Source organism: Homo sapiens, chromosome 6, assembly GCF_000001405.40.
Source record: "Homo sapiens chromosome 6, GRCh38.p14 Primary Assembly".
Lineage (NCBI taxonomy): Eukaryota > Metazoa > Chordata > Mammalia > Primates > Hominidae > Homo > Homo sapiens.
In genome coordinates this window covers 150,049,500-150,075,679 of record NC_000006.12, presented here as the reverse complement: position 1 = coordinate 150,075,679, position 26,180 = coordinate 150,049,500, and the positions used below count along the sequence as shown (strand labels likewise).

Below are 26,180 nucleotides of genomic sequence, written 5' to 3'. Positions count from 1 at the left end.
AACATTGTTGTTTTTCTCTCCTGCAAACCTGAAGCAAGCACTGCTAGAAATGTGATTTTCTACAGAATTGGCATGTTAGTAAGATGATTCATGACTGAAGTAATATCATTCATCTGTTTAATGTTTATAGCTTGGGAACATGCCTTATCATATGGCCAAATGCCTACATGTTTCAATATACTCCCAAAGATAAGAGACTTTAAGCTCCTATGTTCACAAAGGAGTATTGTCTGTAAATTACATCTCAATAAATTTAATATTTATAAAAGATAGAAGGAGAGAAGACTAGCAGTAGTCGAATAAGAGAAAACCAATAAACTTGTCCAATCTACAAGTGCTTCTATGAAAAGGTAGGTTAAACTAGAAACCATTCTCCACCTCTTTGAGACTGTGACTAACAGCCTGGAACGGTACAAATCCACTGGATGAAGACAGGAAAGAATCTCAGGCTTCTGGCTCCCTCCCCCATATTACCCCAGAGAAACAATGGAAGAAAGAAGGAAACATTTGGCTCTCAGACTACACAACAGCAACCCTGGTTGCAAGATAACAATGGAGTATTCTTTCTAAAATATGAAGGAAAAGAACTTCAGCCTAGAATTTTATATCCAGTCAAATTCTCATTTAAACAGGAAGATATCTTTTCTGTTGCAGCTATAACAAATTGCCACATACTTATCTGCTTAAATCTGTACATCTTTATTATTTCACAGTCCTCTAGGTTGCAAGTCTGAGATGGCTTGATTTGTTTCTCTGCTCCCAGTTCCTCAAGGTCAAGGTCAAGGTGTCCACCCGCTGGGCTCTGATTGGGAGGTTCTAGGAAGTATCTGCTTCCAAGTGCACTCAGGTTGCTGGCAGAATCCAGTCCTTGGACCTGTGGGACTGAGGTCTCAGCTTCCCTGCAGGCTGTCAGCTGCAGCCCTTCCCTAACTCCCAGAGGCCCCTCTCCAGTCTTGCTCATGGCCCCCACATCTCAGAGCCAGCAACAGTGCATGGAATCCTTCTCATGCTTAGAATCTCTCTGACATTAGACGCATATTTCTTGGCTCCAGCCTGAGAAAATTCTCTGCTTTTTAGAGCTCATGTAATGGCACTGGGCCCACTCAGAGAATCCAGTAAAATCTCTCTATTTTAAGGTCAACTGATGAGTAGCTTTAATTATGACTGTGCAGAGCCTAGACTAGAGGTACCTAGACTCTCAGTGCCCAGACTAGTGGTACCTAGACTCACAGTACCTAGACTAGCGGTGCCTAGACGAGGAGCAGCTGGTTTCTCTAGGCCCTCACCCCTTATTATCTCCATCCCCTTCTTCCTTGTCCCCTTTCCTTTCCCATTTCCATTCCCACTTTCATATGCATTCCTTCTTTGCTTAAAATACTGGATTTTCCTGCCGCTGGTATGCACCAGGCTCAAACAAACAGGCTAAGACAGCCGTTAGTTGTCCTATCATCAGTGTTTTCTAGAACATATTGTTCTAGAAAGGTACAGGAAACTTGAAGGGACAGCTGCCGAATCCTGCCCACCACAGTGTATTAGAAATATTCAAAACGTAGAAAACTTGAAGGATATTTGCCTCCTAAAGATCCAAGTTGGAAATAGTTTAGAGGAAGTTACCTCAATAGCGAGAGAAACACAGGAGATACGACAAGAGAACCGAGGAGGACAAGTGACTAAGGAATCTATTCCAGATTACTGTTATTTCACAACAAGGGGAAATGTGAAGTTAGGATCACAGAAACAAAGAAGTGTAGCTAAGAATAACCGAGAATTACAGCTAGGAAAGATATCAGGAAAATGGGGCTGGAGGTGGCACACGAAAGGGATAGGAAAACATGCTGAGACTTCTAAAATTAGGAATAAAACAAAACCAATAATACCAATAAATGTGACACATATTGGTATGAGTCATAGGTTAAGGGCAGCCACCCTGAGAAGAAAACTAGAATGTATAACTTTTAAACCAACAGAAAAAAAACCCTCAGTATACTAAATAGAACACAGTTACGGAGGGGAAATGCCAGCAATAAAAAACACAATAAATACATGTGCACCAGGCACAGTGGCTCACGCCTGTAATCCCTGCACTTTGGGAGGCCAAGGCAGGAGGATCGCTTGAGCTCAGGAGTTCAAGACCAGCCTGGGCAATATAGGCAGACCCCATCTCTACAGACAAATATAGAAAATTAGCCCAGTGGGTGGCGCATGCTTGTAGTCCTGGCTACTCGGAGGCTGAGGCAGTAAGATGGCCTGAGCCCAGGAGTTAGAGGCTGCAGTGAGCTATGACCACGCGGCTGCACTCCAACCTGGGCAACAGAGGAAGACCCCATATCTTAAAAAAAATAAATAGATAGGCTGGGCACGGTGGCTCATGCCTGTAATCCCAGCACTATGGGAGGCAGAGGTGGGTGGATCACAAGGTCAGGAGATTGAGACCATCCTGGCTAACAAGGTGAAACCTCGTCTCTACTAAAAATACAAAAAAAAAAAAAAAAAAAAAAAAAAAAACTAGCTGGGCGTGGTGGCGGGCGCCTATAGTCCCAGTTACTCGGGAGGCTGAAGCAGGAGAACGGTATGAACCCAGGAGGAGGAGCTTGCATCAAGCCGAGACCGTGCCACTGCACTACAGCCTGGGCGACAGAGAAAAAATAAATAAATAAAAATAAATAAATAATAAATAAAAAAGATGGCAGAGCTAAATCCTAAACAGTAGTAATTACAATAAAAGTGAACTACTAAACTTATCACATAAATCACTGAAACTCCCAGGTTGGATTTTAAAATATCAAATAATATACACTATTTTCAAAAGACAATGTTAAATGTAAAGATTAAAAATAAAACGTGCTGTATCTGCGAAGAAAGGCTACTTTTTAATTTTTTTTGTATTTGTTTCTTTTAGCGACTACAATATGCTTTATTGTTCTTAGAAAGGACTCAGGGTTTGGCTTTAAATCAGGCTGCACGCTTTTCATCAGTCTCGCATCGCTCTCCCCATGCCAAGCTGGCTCTAGCTAGCAATGTCGCATTAAATCCCAGGGCAACCTTCAGGAACTTCCAGAAGCCTCCCCTCTCCTGACCCCCTGCAGTCCAAGACCCCCATATTTGCCCACACCCCTGCTTAGGGTCCAGCCCTAGAACTCACTGCCCCGCCCCAACCTGCCCTGGACCAGCCTGGCAGCAGGAGCAGAGGCTGGAGGCAAACACCCAACTTCGCGCCAGCACCTGTGCCACTGGGGACCAGGAGCCCAGGGTGTGACACACCCAGAGGAAGCAGAGAGCCGCTGCGTGAGTCACCCTGGCCCTCAAGGCTGTCACAGCTCCAGTAGCCCTGCCCCGCCCACTTGCAACTCCAGGCCATGGGGCAGGAAATGCTTGAATCCTTGCTACCTCTCAGACCCCAACCCTTCTTTTCTCCTCTTTCCTCCTGGCCCGGTTATCTTTTCCCATTTCCATTCCCACTTTCAGACTCGTTCTTTCTTTGCTTAAAAGGCAAGTATTTCAGCCATGCGCGGTGGCTCACGCCTGTAATACCAGCACTTTGGGAGGCCAAGGCGGGCGGATCATGAGATCAGGAGTTCGAGACCAGCCTAGCCAACATAGTGAAACCCCATCTCGACTAAAAATACAAAAAACTAGCCGGGCATGGTGGGGATGCCTGTAATCCTAGCCACTCAGGAGGCTGAGGCAGGAAAATCGCTTGAACCCGGGAGGCGGAGGTTGCAGCGAGCCTAGATCACACCACTGCACACCAGCCCGGGCGATAGTATGAGACAACGTCTCAAAAAAAAAAAAAGGCAAGAAAAAGACAAGATTTTCCTGGCCCTGGTGCACTCTAGGCTCAGTCAAACCAACTGAAGACAGCAGTTTGCTGTCCGTCATCACACTATGTTTTCTAGAAGATTCTATCCTGATGAAGCACCCCCCAGACTGGTTGAAAACCAAAGTTACTCTTCCTTGGAAAATCTTTGTGGACACCCAGGTGGAGATTCAAATTTCCAAGTTGGGGCCAGGCGAAGTGGCTCACGCCTGTAATCCCAACACTTTGGGAGGCCGAGGCAGGCAGATCACCTGAGGCCGGGAGTTCGAGATCAGCCTGGCCAACACGGTGAGACCCTGTCTCTATTAAAATTGCAAAAATTAGCCGGGGGTGGTGGCAGGTGCCTCTAATCCCAGCTACTCGGGAGGCTGAGGGAAGAGAATCGCTTGAACCCGGGTGGCAGAGATTGTAGTGAGCTGAGATCGTCCCATTGCACTCCAGTCTGGGCGACAGAGTGAGACTGTCTCAAAAACAAACAAACCGGAAAACAACAAATAAAACCCAACAACTAAAAAAGGCAAAAAAAAAAAAAAATTACCAACCTCGATGCTGCCACCTTCAGGCCGCTGGGGGTTACAACCTCCGCTCCAGCTCCCCTCTGAACCTGTGCTATTCTTCTGAGTCCCATTCACTCCCACAACTGTCTCATTCATTCACTGGTTCACTCAGCTTCCAACCACCCTTACATCACGTCAGGCTCACCAGGTGATGGAGAGAAAAATCATCCTCTGTGGGTCTGAAAAACATGCCTGAGTCTTGATGGTGGGTCTTGTTTTCATTTCCTCCCCATCACAGCGCCCCCAGGGCCATGAAGAGGCCATGGCCTGGGCTCAGAGATCCAGCTCTCCTCAGGGTGGGCCTGGCAGTTGCTGACTTCAGGGAGAGCTGGAGGCCTCACAACTGAAATAGGAGACCTGCCCTGGGTCCTTAGCATGTGCAAGGACAGGGTTCCTTGTAGAATCTGCTCATTTCATCTGTGTTCATAGCATTTGTCATTTTCCACATGCAGACATCCATTCCTAGAAAGCTGAAGAAGCTTGCACAGGAATATTCAGCCACAATATCAGCTGACTTCCATATCTGAATGCATGATCTCTAGATCCCGGCCATTACAATAACATTTGGGCCACTTCTATCCCCATCCTGGGCAGGCCTGAGTCTGTTGGCCAGATGCCTGCAGCAGGGGTGAGTCAGGAGGGCCCAGGTGTGCACAAAAGCCCCTCCTCCTGTCCTGCTTGGGGCTCTCCTGCCAGCCTCCTTCTACCTTCCTCCTGTTCCCCCAGTCACTGGCCCAGGTCACCTGGCCTCGGGGTGGTGCTGCCAGGGCCTTCCCAGAGGCCTCCTCCCAGGACTAACCTGGGCTCCTGCCCCCAGCCCTGTACATGGGAGGCTCTTCTCACACACAGATCCTGGGACCCGCCAAGCTCTGCCCCTCCCAAATCTGAGAACTGCCCACCCTTGTGTGTCTGTTGTCCTCCAAACTACCCTCCACATGGCCCCTCCTGCACAGGGGCTCTAGTGCATCAGGCCAGAATCTTCTAGGCTCCTGTGTCCCTGCTCAGTCACAGAGGTGGCTGCCCTCCCATGACTCTGTCCTGAAGCAGAAACAGGCCCTGGGCTTTGTCCAGGCCTCCTCCTCTTTCCCACAGCCTCAGGACCCTCGGGATTGATGATCACCAGGTGCAGGTGATCCCAACATGAAGACTGTACGGAGTGGGAGGTCTGTGCCGATTTTTCTCATTCAATAGGGAATGGGCTGAGTGGCTGGGGCCTGAGTGGCACTCAAGATCTCTGTCCACTCCTCATCCCAGGCTAAAGCCCTCCCTTGCGGCCAAGGGCCACTGGGCCCATCACCTCCCTCTGGCTTCTGCCCACAGATCTAGATGTTTCCATGGTGACTGAGACGAGGATACACTCGGGTTGCCGCTTTGAGGATGGCTGCAGTCACCATCCAGGGACAGGGCAGAGATGCGCGTGCAGCCATGGATTTGCGTGTAGCTGGCCACAGATGGGTGTACAGCAAAGTGAGCCCCACGCATGCGTAGACCCTCCCTCGGCTTCTGCTCTCCATGGAAACACAATTGATCATTTGATCACTGATCACGGTAGGCCACTAGGGCTTTCTTTTCTTTCTTTTTTTTCCCAGAAGTCATAAAGGGATATAGAATATACTTTATTCTATATATATTCTATATATTCCTCATGCTTTTAGTGGAGAGGCAAAGAAGGTCTGCTCCGGACTGGGAAGCAGCTGCGCCCTGGACGGAGAGGGGCGGGGACTCCTTGGCGCAGGCTGAAGGAGGGCAGGTGTCGCTGGCGGAGGCAGTGACGGGGGGACACAGCCGCCACTGGATATCCCTGTGCAAGTTTCTTCGCTTTCCTGTGCATCAGTGCTTACATTGGGGTAATAATAAATGGTGTGTTAAAAAATTAAATGAGGCGGTCAAGAAGGAATCGTGTCCTGGCCCGCGCGGAGCCTGGGGTGGAGGGTAAGGGTTGGCCAGAGGGGGCCGCTGTCAGGCCACGAGCCCGGGGCGGGACGAAGCGGAGCCACAGCAGGCATAGGCTCCCCGGGTCCCAGCCTGGGGTGGGGCGGGGAAGGGCGGGACGGGGCGGGATAGGGCGGAGCATCCCTCCAAACGTGGGCAGGCGTAGGCTCCCCTGGATCCCGGGGCGGGACGGGACCGGACGGGGCCGAGCACACTCAATCACTAGCTGGCATGCGAGGGCCGAAGTGATTCATACGCTGGTCTCCACATCGACTGCGCCTTGTGTCCCGGGCGCTCCTGGTCTACAATGGCAGCGGCCGCCAGCCCCGCGATCCTTCCGCGCCTCGCGATTCTTCCGTACCTGCTATTCGACTGGTCCGGGACGGGGCGGGCCGGTGAGTTCGGGGATGGAGCCTAAGCGGGGCGGGGGCCAAACCTGGGGGGCTGTGGACTGCAGCGGGTTTCAGAGGAGGGAAGCCTTCTAGAAGGACCGGCGCGATCTCCCCGGACTGCCCCCACGCTCAGTTCCGATTCGCTGCTCTTTTTCGCCAGGTCCGCTTCCTGCGGCTGCTGCTTGCCCTGCAGAGCAGGAGGGGGGTCAAAGAAGGCGAAAAAAGAACCGCAGGAGGGTGGAGGGGCCAAAAAGCTGCAGAGGGCGAGGTGGGGAGGGGATCCCTGGTGCAACCCCGCAGCCCCACTCGTCCTCGGGAAGGAGAAACCAGAGCCCCCGGAACCCGAGCTGGGGTCAAGACATGGGTGACGCCAGCGTCATATAGAATAGTCACTAAGCAGACAGGAGTCAGCAAACCCTTTCTAGAAAGGAAAGGCTGAAGGCACTTTGGTCCTTGCTGGCCGTGAGTTCTCTGTCTCTGTGTCAAGTCCCGTCCCTTTGTAGAGCAACAGCAGGCAATGGCAACCTGCAAGTAAAAGAGAAACCTGAAATGGACCCTGTCCTAGGTTGCAGACTCCAGATGAGGGCACATGCTGTGTCCTGGCAATTGCTGCCCCATCCCCTAGGGTGTCATCTCTAAGTTGTGTAAGTTGAAGAGTCACAAGTGTGTCCTACCCTGCCTGTGGCTTCTGGGAGGTGTGGATGTGATGAATGTGAGGGGGAGTCCCATGGTTCGGGGCCTACTGCTCCCCTCCTTTGTTGCTGAGTAGCATTAACGGTCCCCAGGGGCCATTCAGGGACCCTCCCTGAAGCCTCAGGTGTGACCTGAGGGTGGGGGGGTGTAGCCATGTGGTGTCCTGGGGATCAGAGCCAACTGCTTGTGCAGCTTCTTGGTTCCCTGTGGCCCTGCTCCTGCCCATCCCAGGAGACCCACCTGTGTCTTCTCACTGTGGGGCCTATCTTCCTAATGACCTAAAGGGTGAGGAGCACACCCTGTGATGGGCAGCTCTGAGGCTGTGTGGTCACTGCCCTCCCATAGCTGGAGGCCCATCTCCACAGGGGCCCAGGACCACAGCAGGAGCCACTTTTAAATGAGGGGATTTCACTGCTGTGAGTGGCACAGCTTTGCTTCTGAGCACTAGGGGACCCTGTTGGATTCTGTGGTTGGGAATAGCCATGAAATCCACATAGCACCTTTTCCAACCACACATGCTTCTGGGATCTTAGGGAGTCCAGGGTCAAATAGCTGTAGTGGCAGGTCCAGCCACACCCCTCATCACAGAGTGTGTATGGCTGCATCCCAGCTATAAGAGCAGAGTTGAGTAGTGACAGGGGAGGTCATATGACCAGCACAAACTATAATAGTTACTACATTAACTACAAACACTATCCATTCCCGGTAGAAATCCAGGAAATGTGAAATTACCATTGAATGGGTCTATGAACCCAGCACATCCCTCTAAGCTGGACCTGACACAGAAGTCCATCTGTTACTTTGCCCCAAATGCACCTCATGAGTAACAGGGGAGCAAGTTAATGCTTCACATCCCTGGGAAGAGCTCGGATCACACACTGTGTCCACTAGGAGTGTCTGAGTATTTGCTGTTTCATGGTGTACAGTTACCAGAGTGACTACCCATCTGGCTCTGTGGGGGAGGCTGAAGGAGTCATTGCAATTGCTGTGGGGTTGAAGGAGCCCACCAGGGGCTCTGGGCTCTCCTTCTAGTAATGGACTCTGCGTCTGAGATGTGGCTCAGTTCTCAAAGCTGGGCGAGGGAGCTCAGTTATTTCCCGGGGTGACAACTTTCAGCCTCCTGGTCATCCATCCTTGCATTTTGTCTTTGTGGTAATTATTTAAATCTAGTAGTATCCGGGTGGAGTCTCCATCTCTTTTGGATCTTGGACCCTTTTGTTCTATGAGCCATGGGCATAGCTTTGTAAGACTGAGGACCCCAGCTAGCATTGTGACTTCTCTAATTATTTCCATCATTGCACCCTCCTTCCTGCTGACAGTTGACGGCCTCCACTTGAGATCTCTTATTTCAGGATTTTCCATCCCCATTACTACTGGGAGCCCATTTCAGGAAGAGCATCTCCTACCCCTGACCCTGGGCTTCAGCAACAGGCATCCCTGAGCTTCTTGACAGTCTGCTGCCTTCTCCTGGGGCCTTCTTTATATGCTAGGTAAACAGGAGTCTTCCAGGCTTCCCTTGAGCACAGAGGGTGAACATTGTTCTGGATTTTCATACTGCAGTCACTCTGGCATGGGCACTTCTCTTAGTATTTTGTTCCTTCCTGTACAACCTGCCACGTAAGACCTGGGTTTTCTGTTTCATGCGGTGTGGGTCATTCCTTTTTCCAAGGTTCCAAGGGCAACCTACTAGCAGCTGACCACATTCCAGGGAACTTACCATGTCTTGTTACCCATAATAAATGAACTCATCCTTATCCAATGTTAACTACATCGTACCCACTGCACCACGCTCCAACATCCTCAGGGTGCCCTCCCACACTCTCCCGCCTCTTGCAGTCCACCTGGGCTGCTCCTGCAGATCCTGCCATCTAAGTCCTTCTTCCTGTAGTGGGCCTGCCACCTCCCTGGCAGGGTCCTGTGCTGACGGATGTGAGTATAGGCCTGGGCAGAGTGGGGAGATAGACATGTTAGCGACCCATGGTTCCTCCACAGGCAGAGACCACCGTCCAGGAAGAGAAATCCATGCTCTGCCAGCCCAGCCCTTCAGGAAACCCTCTTGCTGTCACAGTGTTTGGGGTCTTTCCCCCACCCCAACACTCTCTGGTGTTTTTTTTTTTTTTCCTTAGACGCTCACTCTCTCTGGTATAACTTCACCATCATTCATTTGCCCAGACATGGGCAACAGTGGTGTGAGGTCCAGAGCCAGGTGGATCAGAAGAATTTTCTCTCCTATGACTGTGGCAGTGACAAGGTCTTATCTATGGGTCACCTAGAAGAGCAGCTGTATGCCACAGATGCCTGGGGAAAACAACTGGAAATGCTGAGAGAGGTGGGGCAGAGGCTCAGACTGGAACTGGCTGACACTGAGCTGGAGGATTTCACACCCAGTGGTGAGTGAAAGAGACCAAGGACAGAAGGGAGCAGACTGTGGGCTCAGGGGCTGTTCTGTGTGTGGGGAGAAGAAATTAGACATGGGACCTCCATGAAGCCCAGCAGCAAGGGCAGGACTTGGAGGAGACAACAGGACCAGATGAGAATGGTCTCAGCATAGGAGGATGTGGGACAGGGAAGAGAATTTGTAAACACCAGGGCTGATCTCTTTCTGATTGGGGCAGGACCCCTCACGCTGCAGGTCAGGATGTCTTGTGAGTGTGAAGCCGATGGATACATCCGTGGATCTTGGCAGTTCAGCTTCGATGGACGGAAGTTCCTCCTCTTTGACTCAAACAACAGAAAGTGGACAGTGGTTCACGCTGGAGCCAGGCGGATGAAAGAGAAGTGGGAGAAGGATAGCGGACTGACCACCTTCTTCAAGATGGTCTCAATGAGAGACTGCAAGAGCTGGCTTAGGGACTTCCTGATGCACAGGAAGAAGAGGCTGGAACCCACAGGTAACTGACAGGGGAGCACTGGGAGCATGTTGGAGATGCCATCGAGTTACACCCTTGTCTGTCAGTGTCTGAGTATGGTGGGTGTGGGTGTATGGGTGTGAGTGGGTGTGAGTCTATGTATGTGTGAGTGTGAGTGTGTGTTTGAGTGAGTGTAAGAACATGAACCCCTCATGGGGGCCTCCTCCTTGGGGTGCCTATGCTCTCCCTCCTGACTCCTCTTCCTCACTGCACTTGCTTTTGCTCCACTCACTGTGGATTTCTCACCAGCCTCAAAACTGTGGGCGTCATTGTGTTTCTAGACCTTTCTCCTTAGATTTCCCTCCTCCTAGGATCACTTTTCCTTTCCTCTCCCTTGGTTTGTTTCTGGAAATCCATCAAAACCACCTCGAATGGCAGCCCCGAGACTCTCCTGTCCCGGCCCTAGGGCATCACCTCCTCTTCCGCCACAGCAGGAGGGTGGGCTGTGCTGTCACCTTGCTTCCCTCAGCAGCTGTGTGAGCTCCCTGAGGACAGGGAGCACCCCTTCTCCCTTCCTACCCCCAGGACCTGTCACAGCGGCTGCCCCACAGCAGGGGAGACAAATCCTCTGCCTTCCCGGATGACCTGGGGTAGCAGGAGCTAAGGAGCCATCTCCTCAGATTTGGAGCGTGGACAAGAGTTGTCACTTTTGTGTTTCCCTTTCAGCACCACCCACCATGGCCCCAGGCTTAGCTCAACCCAAAGCCATAGCCACCACCCTCAGTCCCTGGAGCTTCCTCATCATCCTCTGCTTCATCCTCCCTGGCATCTGAGAAGAGTCATTTAGAGTGACAGGTACTGTGGGCAAAACTGTGAGGGGAACGAGAGACAGATGGGTGAGGTGGGAGGAAGGGAAAGGAGAATTTCCAGAGTCCCACCTCTCCCCATGGCCGGGACCTTCTCGTTCTGACATGAGACAGGTGAATGAGACCTGGTGTCGCCTGTTTGCAATGACCTGGGCAGCTCAACCTTGAGTTCTGATGGATTCTCACCATCAGGGCCAGAGGGAAAGGGAGGGACCCATATCAAGGCTCAGGGCCGGTTGAGTTCAAGAGGGTTTAGACAGTTCAGGCCTATTTCACAGCAGGTTTCTATCTGGGAAGGGTAGTGGTGTGTGGCCTGCAGGCAGCAGGAACTCAGGCATGGGCAGTCTGCACAGTAGGAGAGGAGTAGCATGGCCACTTCACCAAGGATGTCAAGGGAAGGGGTGTCCCTGGAGGAGGCTAAGAAGAGAGAAACCTGGGGGAATCCCAGGACGAGGGGGCTGTGAGGGCCTTGGCCCACCCAGTTCCTAAGGCTGCATTCCCAGAGAGAGCACCTTGAGTCCCAGCAGTTAAGGTGGAAGGTGAAGAGTAGAGCGTGTCCAGGATGAGGTTTAGGAAATGGCCGAGCCCCTTGGACCCATGGGATTCCTGGCTAGGCCCTGGGACGATGCCACTGCCATTCTGCCTCGTGCACACTCCAGATCCTGAGCCAGCTGATGGCCCTGCCTGGAGCAGAGTGGACTCAGCTAGGGCAGCTGAGCTGCTGCTAGAGGTCCGTGGTCACCACTGAGCTTGGCCAGGAATGAATGGGGCAGGGCAGGGACAGTCCCATTCAGAGCTATGGGTGCAGCTCCCAGGGTGAGGAGAGGCTGAGAGCGAAGGAGAAAGAAGGTTTGCCTACAAACCCACCCAAGGCCAGGGAACATGGATCCAGAGACCTCTCTTTGGACAGGGCTCCCCCAGGTCCTCTAGACCCTTCTATGAAAGGGAGGAGCAGGCCCTGAGTGAGGGTGCAGACCCCTCATTACCAGCCTCAGGTCTGAGCCCCTATGGGCTGTAACAGGACCTGGGCTGCCTCTGTGGTGTGGTGAAGGAGGGTGGAGGTTGGGAAAGGCTGCACAGCCAGGGGTAGGGTTGGAGGGAAAAACATGTTCCTTATCTGGGGGAGAAGCTCTGAAATGGGGAGGGCCTGGGAAGGATCACCCAGGAGAACAGACCCAGGTTTTTCTCAGCCACTTAAACCAATGCTTCATCTTTCCTCAAGGTGGAAGGTGATATCAAGAAGCCTCTGTTAGCCTGGTCTGGTTCCTGCTCTCCCTTCAGGGAGGCCGCCTGTCTACTCACCACTGTGCCTTTCTGGAAAGCAGGAGTTCAAGCCTTAGCAAGCCCAGAGGCCCCCAGCAGATGATGAGGACATTGTCGGCTCAACATCTCAGGCCACTCATTACCTTCGCTCATGATCCCAGCAGCCATTTTTCTTTTTTTTTTTTTGTTTTTTTTTTTTTTTGAGACGGAGTCTCGCTCTGTCGCCCAGGCCGGACTGCGGACTGCAGTGGCGCAATCTCGGCTCACTGCAAGCTCCGCTTCCCGGGTTCACGCCATTCTCCTGCCTCAGCCTCCCGAGTAGCTGGGACTACAGGCACCCGCCACCGCGCCCGGCTAATTTTTTGTATTTTTAGTAGAGACAGGGTTTCACCTTGTTAGCCAGGATGGTCTCGATCTCCTGACCTCATGATCCACCTGCCTCGGCCTCCCAGAGTGCTGGGATTACAGGCGTGAGCCACCGCGCCCGGCCAGCCATTTTTCTTAACACCTTCTGCCACTTTCTCTCGGTGCTAATGGATGGAATTCCTGCACAAGTTTTAACTGAACAAGAAATCCCAGCAAAAGGCATTTTCTTTCTACTTCTTTGATTGTGGAAAAGCAGACATTTCTCTGAAGCATGACCTTATTCTTCGAAACGGTATTGCTAGTAAAATAGCATGCAGGACTTCAGACCTCAGGGATCCTTTCCATGCACTGACCAAGAATTGTATTAATCCTTTTTATCATTATAGTTTTTTTACATTTTCTCATTCTGTCAACCATATTGGAGTGAAGTGGCATAGTCATCACTCACTGTAATCTCCAACTCCTGGGCTCAAGTGATCCTCTAGACTCAGCCTCTAGAGTAGCTGGGACTACAGGCGCATGCCACCATGCCTGGCAAATTGTTTTATATTTAGGTAGAGATTGGGTCTTCCTATGTTGCGCAGGTAATAAAACTGTGAAAATCCTGGAATATAAGCTAAGAAATACCAATGTGGACATAGGGCCTGGCAAAGATTTCATGAAGAAGACACTAAAAACAATTGTAACAAAAACAAAAATTGACAAATGGGACCTCATTAAACTAAAGAGCTTCTGCACAGAAAAAGAAACTAGCAACACGGTAAACAGACAGCGTGTAGAATGGGGAAACTATTTGCAAACTCTGCATCTGACAAAGGTCCAATATCCAGAATCTACAAAGTACTTAAACAATTAGACAAGCAAGAAAAAAAAACCCAATTAAAAAATGTGCAAAGACATGAACAGACACTTTTCAAAAGAAGACATACAAGTGGCCAACAAACGTGAAAAAATGCTCAATATCACTAATCATCAGATAAGTGCAAATCAAAACTGCAATGAGTTACCATCTCTTACCAGTCACAAAGTTGGAGATGGTGGTGAGGCTGCAGAGGAAAAGAAACAGACACTGTTGGTGGGAAAGCAAACTTGTTCAGCCGCTATGGAAAGCAGTTTGGAGATTTCTCCAAGAACTTAAAATAGAACTACCATTCAAGCCTGCAATCCCACTACTCGGGATATATCCACAGGAAAAGAATTCATTTTATCCAAAAGACACCTGCACCAATATGTTCATTACAGTGCTATTCTTACTAGCAAGGACACAGAATCAACCTAAGTGCCCAGCAACACTGAATTGAATGAAAAAAATGTGGTACATAAACACCATGGAAATCTATGCAGCCACCAAACACAGCAAAATCATGTCCTTTTCAGCAACATGGATGGAACTAGAGGCTATTATCCTAAGCAACCTAATGCAAGAACAGAAAACTACATACTGCATGTTCCCATTGGAAAGTGGCAGCTACACATTGAATTCACATGAACCAGAGGCACTGGAGATTACTAGACAGGTGAGACAGGAGGGGCACCTGGGCTGAAAAACCACCTGTTGGGTACCATGCTTACTGTTTGAGTGATGAGATCATTGGGACACCAAGCCTCAGCCTTCCAAAATCTACCCATGTAACAAACCTGTATGTGTACCCTTTAATCTATAATAAAGGTTAAAATTAAAGATTCGTAAGTAAAATAAAATGACATAGAGCCCTCCAAAAAATGGGGTTAACTGAGTGGAACGAGAGAACTTTGCACTATGAACGCTAACCCAGATCAAAAACTAAACTCTAGTCATTTAAAATAATCGTAAGTTGTATATGATGATAATTGTATAAAAGTTATACGTGAAAGTGCCAAACCCTAAAATTAAACACTGCATAATGAAATTATACAAGATTTCCATTTCCATCTTGTTCTTTATACCCTTACTTTTTTTTTTTTTTTTTTTTTTTTTTGCCAGTTTCAAGTGACATTTTTTTTGTTTATCCTCAGGAAATCCTTGCTGTCAGCCTTCTCCTTCTACACCCACCCCCTCCTTTTCCACCGTCCACATCAGCTCTTCCTCTGGTCTGGGACTGTGGCATTCTTGGCACTGAAGGCACAAGAGCTGCATTCAGCCTCAGGAGAGAGGAGGACACAGGGCAGGTTGTGGAGGTGGTCTCACCATTGGAGGGGAACCTAACAGCTTAGGCCCTCTATCACAGATGGCTGTGTTTCTCCACCAGGTTAGCTACAACCAAGCCAACCTTGCCCCTTTCCTCATTGTTTTTTTTCTAATTCTTCCCAACTCGTACTTGAAAATTTATATTCTTCCTCCTAATATTTCTTCGTATTTCTTGTCTGCACAATATATCCTGATTTATTGTGCCCAGAAAACAGTGGACTCACCATGTCCGTGACAGCTGCAAGGACACAGTCTCCACTCACTGGAGGGGCATGCTGGGCTTGGAGCCCCTCAAAAGCCCCTGCCCCAGAGAACTCTATTTGACTAGTCTGGGACTCACTGGAAAAGCCCCATTCATTGGGTTTGTCATTATTTGACCAGCTGAGGTCTCTCTCTAGGGGAAAAGCCAGATCCTCAGACCACTGGCTAAAAGCAATCATTCCAACTGTACAACCTCACCGTTTGCATGTGGGACAAACAAGAGACTAGTGGGGGAAATTGAGAGAAAGATTTGGGGAATAAGATGTGCATAGGGGCCGGCACGTGCCCAGGAAGCACCTGAGAAGGCCACATCTCTGACCTTTGGCTGACCTGGAGGCTGTGTGCAGGCAGGAAGTGGAGCTGCAGTGGTGACATCAGCTGCCCGCCTGAGTGCGGCAGGGGCAGGAGTGCACCACACACACAAAGCCCTCCGCACTGAGGAGAGACTTACCGGCTCAAGGCATTGATGCAAACCTCTATCCAACCTCACCTAACTGAGCAGAGACTTCAGGGTCCACCTGTGACAGGGAATACAGATGTTATAAGATCCATCCAGGAAAGTCAGTAAACAAGCAGCAGCAACACACCTTGAAGAGAGGGGACATCTGATTCTCAGAGATGCCACGTTGTATTCTTGTAAATGTTCAGTTTCATCTCAAAAAACATAAGATGTGCAAAGAAGCAGGGAAGGATCCCCAGACACAAACAAGGAACCAGCCCTTGGAACTGTCCCCAAGGAAGCCCAGCCATTGGCCTTAGTGAGTTACTTAATGTCACTCCGAGGCGATGGCAGTCAAGGGGAGACTGTGTGGAGGAGGCTGTCCAGCTTCCTTATTTCCATGGAGGACTCAACAGATGTGGTGCTAGAGACTGAATGTCTGTGTCCCCCCAAACCTAATCCCCAATGTGTACTAGGAGGGGGAAGTTTGATAGGTCATTAGGTTTTGAGAGAAAAGCTTTCAAGAATGGGGTTGGAGGGCCAGGCATGGTGGGGTCGTACCTGTAATCCCAACATTTTGAGAGCCTGAGACCGGAAGATCACTTGAGGTCAGGAGTTCAAGACCAGCTTGGCCAACAAGGTGAAACCCTGTTTTTGCTAAAAATACAAAAATTAGCCATGGTGTGGTGGCAGGCACCTGTAATCCCAGCTACTCGGTAGGCCAAGGCAGGAGAATCACTTGAACCCAGGAGGTGGAGGTTGCAGTGAGGCAAGATCGCGCCATTGCACTCCAACCTGGGCAACAAGAGGGAAACTTTGTCAAGGAAGGAAAGGGAAGGGAATGGGAAAGGGAAAGGGAAACTGAAAGGGAAGGGAAGGGAGAAGGAAGGAAGGAAGTTAGGAAAAAAGGAAGGAAGGAAGGAAAAGGATATAAAAGGAAGGAAAAGAAAGAGAAAGAAAAGAAAAAAGAAAACATGGAAGTAAATCCTTGTGACGTCGGGTTTGGCTAAGGCTGCTTAAGTACTGTATGCCAAAGCACTAGTGACGAAAGAAAAATAGTTTAATTTGACTTATTCCAATGGTAAAACTTCTGTGCTTATAAAAGAATGCCGTTTAGAAAGTGAAAAGACAGCTTACAGCATGGAGAAAAAATGTGCAAATTATATATCTGGTAAGGGACTGGTATCCTGAATCTATAAAGCACTCTTACAACTCAATATTATAAAGATAAATAATGCAATATAAATATGTGGAAAGGATTTGAATGGACATTTCTCCAGAGAAGTATACATTGGTCACTAAGCCCATGAAAAGAGGCTCAATATTAACAGCCATGAGGGAAACGTAAATCACACCCACAAGGAGATGCCACCTCACACCGAGTAGGAAGGCTGTCATCATAATCACAGTGAGGACATGGAGAGACTGGATCCTTCACCCCTTCCAGGGGCAGCGCGAAGAGAGATGGAGTCGGGGTGGAGTGTGGGCGAGAGTGTGGTCTGCAGGGCTGTGATGGTGAATATTAGGTGTCCAGTGTGGATGGTCACCATACCATGGACTGCCAGCGGGGCTAGAGGAGAGCAGGCGGGAGAGGGTGAGGTGACTCTGCGGGTGGAGCTCTCTGGCTTCTCTTTGCGTTCCCTGAGAGTTCTTGCTTCCTTCCTCCTTGGACATCAGACTCCGGGTTCTTTGGCCTTCGGGCTCTGGGACTTGCACCAGCAGTTTCCGACTTTCGGGGTCTCTGGGACATTTGGCAGGGGCTGAAGGCTGCCCTGTGGGCTTTTCTGGTTTTGAGGCTTTCTGACTTGCACTGGCCTCTGCTGGCTTGTCTCCTCCCCAGCTTGCAGACGGTCTACCATTGGACTTTGCCTTGAAATCGTGTGCACCAATTTTCCCTAATAAATTCCCGTTCATATATATACCTATATCCCATTGGGGCCGTCCCTCTGGAGAACCCTGACTAACTGGGGGTGGGGGGTTGTCCCTGTGTCACCCTCTCCCCATTTTCGGGGCGGGGGTTTCTTCTGGTTCTCCTGCCACCTGCTTCTCCTTCCCTTTTTCCCATCCTCTCTCTGAACGTACTTTTCCACACGTTCTGGGCTCAGGACGTCCATCCTGGAAGGGGCCTCAGCCCAGCGGAAGAACCAGGGACCCTGTACTGCAGGCGACGGGGTGGGGAAGGGGACGACTACAAGCTCCTGGCCCGACCCGTGGACCCTAAGGACCAAGTGGATCACGGGCGCCACCCACCAGCACCCTCAAAGCAAGCAGGAGGGGGATCCGCGTGGGAGCCGCTCTGTTGGAGCCCGAAGGACCCCAGCTGGAAGGTGACGTCTCCGCAGGAGCCAGGTGTAAAGTCGTCCCAGCCCCCCGCGCCAGGCTGTGGGAGGAAACCAGCAGTCACCTCTGATTTCCCCTCATCTCAAGCCCCAAGAAAAAAACCTTATCCCTGCCACGATGGGCTAGTCCTCCCACGTCTTCCAAAGGCGTTTCTGCCCGCGGTGACCCGCCCGGGGCCAGTCCCTCCCGGTGGGACATCCGCGGCAGCCGGGCGCCCCCTGTGAGGCATCAGGCTAGTGGGGACCCCAGCCTAGTAGTTCATCTACCTGAAGAGATAAAAGATCTTTACAGGAGAACTACAAAACACTGCTTAAAAAAAAAAAAAAATCAGACACAACACAAATGAAGGGAAAAAAATATTTCATGCTCATGGGTTGGAAGAATCAATATAGCTAAAATGGCCATACTTCCCAAAACAATGTATAGATGCAAAGGTATCACTATCAAAATACCAATATTGTTTTTCACAGAATTAAAACAATCTATTCTAAAATTTATTTGGAACCAAAAGGAAAAAAAAAAGTTCAAGCTGTCAAAACAATCCTGAGCAAAAAGGACATGTGGAGCTCGCACGGTTCCAACCCTCAGCCTAAAGTCAAGCCCAGAATAGATCAGCCTAAGCCCAGCCAAACCAAAGGTCCGGGAGAGAAAAGCAAATGCTAACTGTCTGTGACATTGAACTTCAAAGGGGCCTGTCACGTTATGTGGGTCATCCCAGCAACAATGAAGATATTTCTGTATCAGTCAGTCAGTAAATAATTATTGACAATGTGCTAGAAAGGTGGAGTGATTTGAGTAGATTTGCTCCCTATTCTCATAGAGATTACTTTCTAGAGGGGAAGACAGATGATGGATGAATAAATATAAATTATTCTATTACGTTGGTGCAGCAGTAATCTCGGTTTTTGCCATTAAAAGTAATGGCAATAAAAAGCAGGGAGGAGCCGGTGCTGCAGTTCATTAAAAGTAATGGCAAAAACTGTGATGACTTTGCACCAACCTGATAGAATAATTACGAGTGTGCAAAACACTGCAATGGGAAAGTTCCAAGAGCTAGAATCGCATCTAGCTTCCTGGAGTCAGGAGACAGGGGTTGGCAACCTAACCAAGGTTAAGTCCAAGTGATGGGGGCAGGCAGGGAGTGATATTTCAGTGGAGACTCCAAAGATAAATGGTAATTAGAAAAGTGAACCCAGACGATGAGAGAGGGAAGTGTTTCAGGCAGAGAGAATAGCGTGTGCAAAGGCCTATGTGGGGAGGATGTCGTGTGTTCATCGACCTGAGGGGTGCTCTGCAGGCTGGAACTGAGCAGGTTGAGAGGAGGATGGGGAGCCGGGGAAAGGCACCCCACGCAGAGGGCACAGCAGAGGCAGAGGCCCGGAGTCGGGCCTGAGCCTGTGTGGTTTGAAGAACTGACAGAGGCCTTTCTGGCAGGAAAGAGAGCAGGGCCGTGCTGGGCACTGTGGGCTGTGGATGGGAGCTGGCATTTATGCTCGAGTGATGGGAACGTGTTAGAAGATTTTAAGGAGGGCAGTAATATTTGGGGATAATGCGTATTCTGGGAATCTCAACAAACTAAATTCATAGTTTGAATGTTCATAAGACTTCTGCACAGGCAGAGAGAAATAAGATCATTTCTACAGCTGTGACATAAGATCATATTAAAAAATATTACTAAGTTTTTAAAGGTCATTTCAAATGGTGGATTTCTATCTTATATTTGAACACAAGTAGATTGCAAGGTTGGGGAAAGCAGAAAAGTTTCCTGACTTGTGTGAACATAAAAGAAATATCAATCTGAAAGCAAAACATTTATTCATTTACTTCCTCTGCAGTTTTCTTGACTGCTGAATTTCATAAGAAGGGATTGTTCATGAGGGTCATGGAGCTGGGGACCTGGGGAGGAGCTGGTGTTCTCCTAGTTTGAGGGTCGTGGAGCTGAAGACTCAGGGAGGAGCTGGTGCTGCTGTTCTAGTTTGAGTATCATGGAACTGGAGCACCGGGAAAGAACCCACTCATGTATTAGGGTAATAGATCTGGAGATCCGGATGGAGCTGGTGCTGCTGTTCTAGTTTGAGGGTTGAGGAGCTGGAGACCCAGGGAGGAGCTGATGCTACTGCTGTTCAAATCTGAGGGTAATGGAGCTGGAGCCTTGGGGAAGAGTGTTGCTGCCTTTCAGGTCTGAGAGTCATTGAACTGGGGCTCCAGGGAGGAGCTTGTGCTCCCGTTGTAGTTTGAGGGTCATAGAGCTGGAGACCCAGGGAGGAGCTGGTGATGCTGTTTTAGTTTGAGGGTTGTGGAGCTGAAGATCTAGGGAGGAGCTGATGCTGCTGTTCAAGTCTGAGGGTCCTGGAGCTGGAGGCCTGGGGAGGAGCTGGTGCTGTTGTTCTAGTTTGAGGGACATGGAGCTGGAAACCTGGGGAGGAGCCGGTGTTGATCTTCTTTGAGGGTCATGGAGCTGGAGATCCGAGGAGGAGCCGGTGTTGTTCTAGTTTGAGGGTCGTGGAGCCGGAGACCCGGGGAGGAGCTGGTACTGTTGTTCTGGTTTGAGTGTCGTGAAGCTGGAGACCTGGGGAGGAGCCAGTTTCGTTCTAATTTGGGAGTCGTGGAGCTGGAGACCCGGGGAGCAGTCGCTGTTTTTTTAGTTTGAGGGTCGTGAAGCTGCAGACCTAGGGAGGAGCGCTGTTGTTCTAGTTTAAGGATCGTGGAGCTGGAAACTCAGGGAGGAGCCGGTGTTGTTCTAGTTTTCAGGTCGTGGACCTGGAGACCTGGGGATGAGTGGTATTGTTCTTGTTTTAAGGTCATGGAGCTAGAGACCCAAGGAGGAGCCATTGTTTTTTTAGTTTTAGGGTCATGGAGCTGGAGACCCAAGGAGGAGCTGGTGTTGTTCCAGTTATAGAGTCGTGGAGCTGAAGACTCGAGGAGGAGCTTGTGTTGTACTAATTCGAACGTTGTGGAGCTGGAGATCCTGGGAGGAGCTGTGTTGCCCTTGTTTGAGGGTTGTGGAGCTACAGACCCAGGGAGGAGAAGTGTTGTTCTAGTTTGAGGATCATAGAGCTGGAGAACCAGGGAGGACCTGGTGTTGTTCTAGTTTGAGGATTGTGGAGCTGGAGACCTGGGGAGGAGCTGGTGCTGTTGTAGTGTGAGGTGCATGGAGTGGAGACCCAGAAATGAGCATTATTGTTTTAGTTTGAGAGTCATGGAGCTGGAGACCCAAGGAGGAGCTGGTGTTGCTGTTTAAATTTTAGTGTTATGGAACTGGAGAACCGGGGACGAGTTGGTGCTGCTGTTCTAGTGTGAGGGTCATGGAGCTGGAGACCTGGTGAGGAGCTGGTGCTTCTGTTGTTTAATTCAAAGGGTGGTGGAGCTGTAGACCAAGGGAGGGGCCGGTGTTTTTCTAGTTTGAGGCTTGTGGAGCTGGAGACTCAGGGAGGAGCTGGTGCTTCTGTTCTAGTGTGAGGGTTGTGGAGGTGAGGACCCAGGGAGGAACTTTGTTGTTCTAGTTTGAGGGTTGTGGAGCTTGAGACCCAGGAGGAGCTGGTGCTGCTGTGGTTTCAGGTTGAGGGTCATGGAGCTGGAGACCTAGGGAGGAGCTGTGCTGTTGTTCAATTCTGGGGGTCGTGGAGCTGGAGGGCGGGGAGGAGCTAGTTCTGGTGTTCTAGTGTGAGGATCGTGGAGCTGTAGACCCAGGCAGGAGCCAGTGCTGCTGTGTAGTTTGAGGATCGTGGAGCTGGAGACCTAGGGAGGAGCTGGTGCTACCACCATTTAAGTCAGAGGGTCATGGATCTGGAGGTTTAGAGGAGGAGTCCATGCTGCTGTTCAACTGTGGGTAGGATCCAGTGCTTCAGTTGAAGTCTGAGGGTTTGGGAGCTGGAGATCCAGGAAGGAGCCGATGCTGTTCTATTTTAAGGGTCGTGGAGCTGGAGACCCTAGGGAGAGGCTGGTGCCGCTGTTGTAGTTTGAGGGTCATGGAGCTGGAGACCCGGGTAGGAGCCGGTGCTGCTGCTGTTCATGTTTGAGGGTTGTATAGCTGGAAACCCAGGGAGAAGCCAGTACTATCGCTTTTAAAGTTTGAAGGTCATGGAGTCTGAGACCTGGGGAGGAGCCAGTGCTGCTCTTCAAAGGGCTCCTCCTCGGGTCTCCATTTCCACGACCTTCACACTAGAACAGCAGCAGCAGTTCCTCCCCGGGTCTCCAGCTCCATGACCCTCACACTAGCAGCACCGGCTGCACCTTGGGTCTCCAGATCCACCACCCTCAAACTAGAACGGCAGCAGCAGCTCCTCCCCGAGTCTCCAGATCCACAAGCCTCAAACTAGAACAGCAGCACTGGCTCCTCCCTGGGTCTCCAGCTCTATGACCCTCAGACTTGAGGAGCTGGAGACTCAGGGAGGAGCCAGTGCTGCTATTCTACTTTGAGGGTTGTGGAGCTGGAGACCCAACGTGCAGCTGCAGCTGCTCTTCTAGTTTGAGGGTCTTGGAGCTGGAGCCTTTCTGAGGACCTGGTGCTGCCTTTCAAGTCTGAGAGTCGTTAAGCTGGAGATCCAGGGAGGAACCAGTGTTGCTGTTGTAGTCTGAGGGTTGTGGAGCTGGAGACCAAGGTAGGTGCTGATGCTGCTGCAATTCAAGTTTGAGGGTGGTGAAGCTAGAGACCCAAGGAGGAGTCAGTGCTGCTGTTCCTGTCTGAGGGTTGTGGAGCTGGAGACCCGGGGAGAGGCTCGTGCTGCTGTTCTAGTTTGAGGGTCATGGAGCTGGAGATCCGGGGAAGAGCTGTTGCTGCCGTTCAAATCTGTGGGTCCTGGAGCTGGAGCCCTGGGGAGGAGCCGGTGCTGCCATTCATGTCTTAGGGTCATGGAGCTGGAAACCCAGGGAGGAGGCGATGCTGCTGTTCTAGTTTAAGGATCGTGGAGCTGAAGACCCGGACAGGAGCTGGTGCTACCGCTGTTTAAATCTGAAGGAAGGTCGTGGAGCTGGAGCCTTGGGGAGGTACCGGTGCTGCCTCTCAAGTCTGAGAGTCATTGAGCTGGAGATCCAGGGAGGAGCCGGTGCTGCTGTCATAGTTTGAGGATCGTGGAGCTGGAGATGGGAGGAGCTGGTGCTGCAGTTCAAGTTTGATGGCTGTGGAGCTGGAGACCTAGGGAGGAGCTGGTGCTACCACTGTGTAAGTCTGAGGGTCGTGGAGCTGGTGGCCCTGGGGAGGAGCAAGTGCTACAGTTGAGGGTCTACAGTTTTGAGGGTCAGGGAGCTGGAGACCCAGGGAGTAGCTGGTGCTGCTGTTTTAGTTTGAGGGTCTTGAAGCTGGAGCCTTGGGGAGGAGCCAGTGCTGCCTCTCAAGTCTGAGAATCATTGAGCTGGAGGGAAGCTGGTGCTGCTGTTGTAGTTTGAGGATCGTGGAGCTGTAGACCCGGGGAGGAGCTGGTTCCGCAGTTGAAGTTTGAGGGTCGGGGAGCTGGGGAGCTGGAGATCTTGGGAGGAGCCAGTGCTTCTGTTTAAGTCTGAGGGTCATGGAGCTAAACATGGAGCCAAATTTGGGGAAGTAGAGAGAGAGAGTCACAGGACGCCACTTGAAACTGTAGATGTAGCTGTACCCCAAGCAAGTTAAGCTTGGGAACTTCTCAATTCTAGTGATTAATACATTCTTTTTCCTCTTACACAGTTTGGATTTGTTTTCTGTCTCATGAGACGGAAAGACAATGATTAATACCCTTAAGAACTGAAAAGCTTAAAAAAACTAATGATGTTGGTAATAATAATAATAATAATAATCGGAATTAAACCATCATTATCCTGACTGACAGAGACGAAATTACACACACACTATATATATATTTTCAATCAGTTAGTAAAATAAAAAATGAATTGAAAAATAGACCCAAGCAAAGCTATAAAATCTTCTTTCATGGAGACGCAATGGAGGACAGAGATTAATCTGAGAGCTGCTGTTAATGGAGAAACTGAGAATTTACCATTTTTCCTGTGAGGTTTTGGTGCAGAATGATATTCTGTGAGTTCTGGCAGCTGAGTCACTTTGCACAGCCTGGTGATGCAGTTGGTGTCACAGAAAGACCCTGTCCCAGCTGATCCTGCCTCTCTGCTATGATGAGTGCGGCCTCTGATGCCCGACAACTGACTGTGTCTTGAGAGGAGACCAGGCCCATGAGCACAAGGGTATCCATCCATGGTGAGGTTCCATGGATGGAACACCATGGATGTTCCTGATGTTCCTTCCTGATGTGTATCTGCCATCTTGCTATTTAATGGATCTTTTTTATAATTGCCTTCTAAACATTGAACAGAAGAAAGTATTTATACAATATGGGTAGAATATCGACACGTTGGACACACAGGACCTCCACCAAGTTTAGGAAATAGAATCTGAAGAGACTTAACTTTGGATGCTCCCTGGAGGCCCCTCCTGAATCCCAGTCCCTTCCCTTGTACAGAGGGAGTCACTTTCTGCTTTAGTCTTTATTATTCCCATGCTTTTCTTCTTAGTACATTTCTTTCACCATGTATGTGTACATCCCTAAACAATATGCCATTTAGTTTTTGAACTTTCTGTTGTCTTTTTGAGACAGGGTCTTGCTCTGTTGCCTCAGCTGCAGTTTTTGAACTTTGATGTGAAGGAATTCTTTTGTGTGGCTGCAATGAGTCTGAGCATTTGCTTGATGTCTATTTTTGTCCTCCATTCTCTTCCTGAGACCCATCCACATTGACGTGATTCATTTTCATTGCTGCGTGATCTTGATCTCCCGTGGTATGAGGGGAACATGGGAAATGTCTTCATTTTCCTGTTGATGAGTGTTTGGCCAGGTTGGGGCCCTTAGGGCTGTGTTGCTAGAACGTTCTTGAGCATTTCTTTTGTACAGAAGTGCAAGTTTCTTCTGGTCTGTAGCTTTCAATTTTTAAAACTTCATCCCTGGTAAGACATGTAATTTTTCTCATAACCCACAACACACATCCTTTCATATACAAGTATACTAAAAAAAAAAAAACAAATTTACAACCATTCTTAGAAGGGGCTGAGTGTTCTTGTTGCTCTCCATTCTCCCCAACCCTTGCATTTATTGGGTTGTGGGGGTTTTGCCAGTCTAGTGGGTGTCATGTGATACCTCATCCTGTTAGGCTGAAACCCTCTTCATGTTTTTATTGGCCATTCCTTCACATTTCCTCTTCTGTGAAGGGCTGGTTCAACTCTTTTGCCCATTTTCCCTTTAGTTGTCTGAATTTTTGCCTTTTTCTTTTGTTATTATTATTTGAGATGGAGTCTCACTCTGTTGCTCAGGCTGGAGTGCAATGGCACGATCTTGGCTCACTGCCACCTCCGCCTTCCTGGTTCAAGTGATTCTCCTGCCTCAGCCTCCAGATTAGCTGGAATTACGGGTTGCATGTCAAACTCTCCCTTCTGGCTGGCAGCCTGTGCATCACTCACTCTTCATTTCTAGACCACCAGGAATTCGAATTCAAGCCTTAGCAAATCCAGAGGCCTCCAGCAGATCAGGATGACCCCATAGACTCAGCATCTCAGGAGCCTTAATCCCTTTGGCAATAATCCTATTGCTGGAATTTCTTAAAATGCTTTGCCATTTTCTCTTGTGCTACCTGATGGAAGAATTCCTGCCCTTAAAGTTTTAACTTATTGAAGAAGAAATCTCAACCAAAAGAACATTTTCTGTCATCTTCTTTGGTTGTGGAAAAACAGATGCTTCTCTAAACCATGATTTTGTTCTTCTAAAGCATTGCCACTGAAATACCATGGCCGACTTCAGAACACCAGGGATTCTTTTCATGTCGTGAATCAGAATTTTCTAATTTGTTCATAAGAAAATATATAGGCATGATTCTTTCCTTTGGTAATTTATCTGCTACTGATATTTAATTAAAAATATCTATTTTCTTTCTTTTTTTTTTTTTTTTTGAGAGGCGGAGTCTCACTCTGTGGCCCAGGCTGGAATGCAGTGGCGCGCGATCTCAGCTCACTGCAAGCTCCGCCTCCTGTGTTCCTGCCATTCTCCTGCCTCAGCCTCCCGAGTAGCTGGGACTACAGGCGCCCACCACCACGCCTGGCTAATTTTTTTGTATTTTTAGTCGAGACGGGGTTTCACCATGTTAGCCAGGATGGTCTCGATCTCCTTGAACCGGTGGTCCGCCTGCCTCTGCCTCCCAAAGTGCTGGGATTACAGGCGTGAGCCACCGCGCCTGGCCAAAAATCTCTATTTTCTAAAATATTTATTGACT

General features: G+C 49.7%; 1 protein-coding gene and 1 long non-coding RNA gene across 2 annotated transcripts, besides 3 other annotated features; both read left to right on the top strand.

Moving 5' to 3' along the window:
* Positions 4,670-5,537: an enhancer, noted in NCBI's record as "H3K4me1 hESC enhancer chr6:150391279-150392146 (GRCh37/hg19 assembly coordinates)". NCBI's record gives its function as "activates a minimal SCP1, AML or CMV promoter by ChIP-STARR-seq in naive H9 embryonic stem cells {active_cell/tissue: H9 hESC(naive)}" and the evidence as "EXISTENCE:reporter gene assay evidence [ECO:0000049][PMID:30033119]".
* On the top strand, positions 5,407-6,252 carry LOC124901428 (uncharacterized). Its single transcript, XR_007059809.1, has 2 exons — positions 5,407-5,922; positions 6,030-6,252. It is a non-coding gene; the product is annotated as an uncharacterized LOC124901428 (long non-coding RNA).
* Positions 6,253-6,558: 306 nt separating this feature from the next.
* Positions 6,559-14,627, top strand: ULBP3 (UL16 binding protein 3). Its single transcript, NM_024518.3, has 5 exons — positions 6,559-6,701; positions 9,518-9,781; positions 10,007-10,282; positions 10,967-11,095; positions 12,329-14,627. The coding sequence occupies exons 1-4, from the start codon at positions 6,614-6,616 to the stop codon at positions 11,071-11,073; spliced, it is 735 nt and encodes a 244-aa protein (NP_078794.1). The 5' UTR covers positions 6,559-6,613; the 3' UTR covers positions 11,074-11,095; positions 12,329-14,627.
* Positions 6,735-6,814: an enhancer, noted in NCBI's record as "active region_25272". NCBI's record gives its function as "activates an Ori minimal core promoter by ATAC-STARR-seq in GM12878 lymphoblastoid cells {active_cell/tissue: GM12878}" and the evidence as "EXISTENCE:reporter gene assay evidence [ECO:0000049][PMID:35858748]".
* Positions 6,835-6,884: an enhancer, noted in NCBI's record as "active region_25271". NCBI's record gives its function as "activates an Ori minimal core promoter by ATAC-STARR-seq in GM12878 lymphoblastoid cells {active_cell/tissue: GM12878}" and the evidence as "EXISTENCE:reporter gene assay evidence [ECO:0000049][PMID:35858748]".
* Positions 14,628-26,180: the final 11,553 nt, after the last annotated feature.

Coding starts and splice junctions, on each gene's coding strand:
- ULBP3 (NM_024518.3), top strand. CDS start 6,614: ATGGCAGCGGCCGCCAGCCCCGCGATCCTTCCGCGCCTCGCGATTCTT. Junction 9,782..10,006: donor GGAGGATTTCACACCCAGTG/GTGAGTGAAAGA, acceptor TGATTGGGGCAG/GACCCCTCACGCTGCAGGTC. Junction 10,283..10,966: donor GAAGAGGCTGGAACCCACAG/GTAACTGACAGG, acceptor TTTCCCTTTCAG/CACCACCCACCATGGCCCCA.